At 35.1% G+C, this 3,580-nt stretch overlaps 2 annotated features.

Moving 5' to 3' along the window:
• Positions 597-1,254: an enhancer, noted in NCBI's record as "NANOG-H3K27ac hESC enhancer chrX:138423703-138424360 (GRCh37/hg19 assembly coordinates)". NCBI's record gives its function as "activates a minimal SCP1, AML or CMV promoter by ChIP-STARR-seq in primed H9 embryonic stem cells {active_cell/tissue: H9 hESC(primed)}" and the evidence as "EXISTENCE:reporter gene assay evidence [ECO:0000049][PMID:30033119]".
• Positions 1,255-1,912: an enhancer, noted in NCBI's record as "OCT4-NANOG-H3K27ac hESC enhancer chrX:138424361-138425018 (GRCh37/hg19 assembly coordinates)". NCBI's record gives its function as "activates a minimal SCP1, AML or CMV promoter by ChIP-STARR-seq in naive and primed H9 embryonic stem cells {active_cell/tissue: H9 hESC(naive and primed)}" and the evidence as "EXISTENCE:reporter gene assay evidence [ECO:0000049][PMID:30033119]".

Here is a 3,580-nt window from a genome sequence, read left to right on the forward strand (position 1 = left end):
GCTTGCATATTCATTTTCTTAATGGCATCTTTTTGATAAACAGAAGTTCTATATTTTTGTTAGGTCTAATTTGTCAATATTTTTTCTTTAATATTTATCTCTTTCTGTGTTCTGTCTACAAAACGTTGTCCTCCCCCAGATTGCAAATATTTTCACTTATATTTTCTTCTAGAAACTTTGCAGCTTGAGCATTATATTTATTTCATGATCCATCTTTAATTACATTTTATGTATGTTGTGAGGTATGGGTAAAGATTTATTTATTTCTTCTATATGGTTATCCAGTCACTCCAGCACCATTTACTGAAAAGACTTTATTTTCCCAACTGAGCTACTTTGGCACATTTGTTAAAAATCAACTGACTTTAGAAGTCTGAGTTTATTTCTAGAACGTCTATTCTCCATTGATCTGTTTTTCTATCCTTTTGCTTCTACCACACTGTCTGAATTACTGAAACCTTACAGTTAGACTTGGAGTCATATAAATAGGCCACTAACTTTGTTCTTTGTTTTTAATGTTTGGCTGTTAGAGGTCCTTTGAAGTTCCCCATAAATTTTAGAAACAGCTTTTCAATTTTTACAAAAAAAACCTGCCAAGACTTTTATTTTATTGCATGAGCCTAGTAATTACTTTGAGGAGAATGGGCATCTTAATAATATGTAGTCTTTATCCAGCAATTTTTGTGCTTTCAATATAAGAATCATGTGTTGTGGATATTTTTCCTGAATCATATTATGTTTTGATGCTATGATAAACAGAATTCTTTGCTTAAATTTTTCCAATAGTTTTGTGCCATTATAAAGGTGTACAATTGCTTTTTGTATATTAAATTATGCCACTTTGGTAGATTTACCTATTACTTTGAATATTTGTTTTGTAGATGTTTTAGAATCTTTGACATAAACAATCATGTTGTGTATGAATAGATATGCTTTTACATATTCCTTTCCAATATTTATGCCTTGGTGAAGGGATGGGTTGCCCCTCCACACCTGTGGGCGTTTCTCGTCAGGTGGAAGGAGAGACTTGGAAAAGAAAGAGACACAGAGACAAAGTATAGAGAAAGAAAAATGGGCCCAGGGGACCGGCGTTCAGCACATGGAAGACCCGCGCCGGCACCGGCCTCTGAGTTCCCTTAGTATTTGTTGATCATTATCGGGCGTTTCCCGGAGAGGGGGATGTGGCAGGACAATAGGATAATAGTGGAGAGAAGGTCAGCAGGTAAACACGTGAACAAATGTCTCTGCATCTTAAACAAGGTAAAGAAAAAAGTGCTGTGCTTTTGATGTGCATATACATAAACATCTCAATGCCTTAAAGAGCAGTATTGCTGCCAGCATGTCCCACCTCCAGCCCTAAGGCGGTTTTCCCCTATCTCAGTAGATGAAATATACAATCGGGCTTTACACGGAGACATTCCATTGCCCAGGGACGAGCAGGAGACAGATGCCTTCCTCTTAACTCAACTGCCAAGAGGCGTTCCTTCCTCTTTTACTAATCTTCCTCAGCACAGACCCTTTACGGGTGTCGGGCTGGGGGACAGTCAGGTCTTTCCCTTCCCACGAGGCCAAATTTCAGACTATCACATGGGGAGAAACCTTGGACAATACCTGGCTTTCCTAGGCAGAGGTCCCTGCGGCCTTCCGCAGTGTTTTGTGTCCCTGGGTACTTGAGATTAGGGAGTGGTGATGACTCTTAACGAGCATGCTGCCTTCAAGCATTTGTTTAACAAAGCACATCCTGCACAGCCCTTAATCCGTTTAACCCTGAGTTGACACAGCACATGTCTCAGGGAGCGCAGGGTTGGGGGTAGGGTTACAGATTAACAGCATCTCAAGGCAGAAGAATTTTTCTTAGTACAGAACAAAATGGAGTCTCTTATGTCTACTTCTTTCTACACAGACACAGTAACAATCTGATCTCTCTTGCTTTTCCCCACATCTTGGATTTATTTTCTTGCCTTATTGCACTTGTTAATATTTCCAGAACAATGTTCAATATAAATCGTTGGAATGAACATCCTTGCCTAATTCCCAACTTAGGGGAAAGTTTGTAGTTTATCATTAAATATCATGAGATGTAGCTTATCAGTTGAAGGAAGTTTCCTTCTTTTGGTAGTCTGTTGAGGATTTTTTAAAAAGTCATAAACAGGTGTTGAATTTTGTTTTACATTTATTGAAATGATCATACATTTTCCTCTCTTCCTTTAATATGATGAATTACAGATTGAGCTGCAAATGTTAAACCAACCTTGCGTCCCTGGAATAAACACCATTAGGCCATGTTGTAGTATCCTTTTTATAGATCACTGACTTTAGCTAAATGTTCCGTTAAATAATTTTACATCAATGTACATGAAGTATATTGGTTTGTAGTTCTTTTCTGTAATATTTTGAAATATTTTGGAATCAAGTTTTTGTTGCTTCATGGAAAAATTAATGAAGTGGCCTGCCCCTTCCATTTCTAAAAATGGTTTGTATCTGATTAGTGATGTTTCCTCCTTAAATAGTTTATTCAATTCACCAATAAAAATATGGACCTGGAATTTTCTTTGTGGGAAAATATTTGATTACTTTAATAGATACAGGGCTTTTGAGAATTTCTACTTCACTTTGGGTTATCTTGATCATCTGTTTTTTGAAGGACTCTGTCCACAGCAGTAATGTTGAATTTACGGGCCTACGATTTTAAATTATATTCCCTTATTATCTTTTTAATATGTGTAGCATGTGGAGTGATATCTCACATTATTTCTAATATAGGTAATTTGTATTGTTTTGTAGTTCTTGAACACTCTAGGTGTTTATCAAATTTTAAATCTTGTTAAATGAAAAACTTTTGGTTTTCTTAGCTTCCTCTGTTGCTTGTCTTTCTTTTTATTACTTTCATTCTATTGATTTCTGTACAATTTTAAATAATTATTTCCTTCTTTGTGTTTACTTATGTTTCATTTGCTTCTCTTCCTCAGAATTCTTATGGAGAATAATGAGATCATTGATTTTAAATCTCTTCTTTGCACTGCTTTAGCTGCATTCCATATATAATGATAAGTTGTAATTTAATTATCCTTCTGTTTGAAATATTTTCTAATTTCACTTGTGATTTCTTCCTTGACCCATGGGTTACTCAAAACTTTACTTGTATTTTTTGCAGTTTAAAAATATCTGGGGCTTTTCTAGCTATCCATGTTACTGATTTCAACATATTATGTATGGTTCCAATGTTTTGTAATGTTTGATACTTATTTTTCACCCGGTATAAGATCTATTTTGTTTAACATTCTATATTCACAGGATTTAATTCTGTGTATTCTGCAATTGTTGTCTGTAGTGTTCTGTTTATTTCATTTGTATCAACAATGTTCATAGCCACTATTTATTCAAATACCCTTTATACCCTATGCTATCTCTTCTCTCCTAAGACTCCAAAAACTTTTATAACCTTTGATGTTTTGCTATAGTTCACAGTTCATTGTTTCCTTCGTAATGGGTTTGTTTTATTTATCTAATCTTCAAGTTTACCTATCCATTACACTGTCACTTCTAATCTGCTCTTAAGTCCAGTCAGTGATTTTTAAAA

The sequence above is a fragment of the Homo sapiens genome, chromosome X (assembly GCF_000001405.40).
Source record: "Homo sapiens chromosome X, GRCh38.p14 Primary Assembly".
NCBI classification, from domain to species: Eukaryota; Metazoa; Chordata; class Mammalia; order Primates; family Hominidae; genus Homo; species Homo sapiens.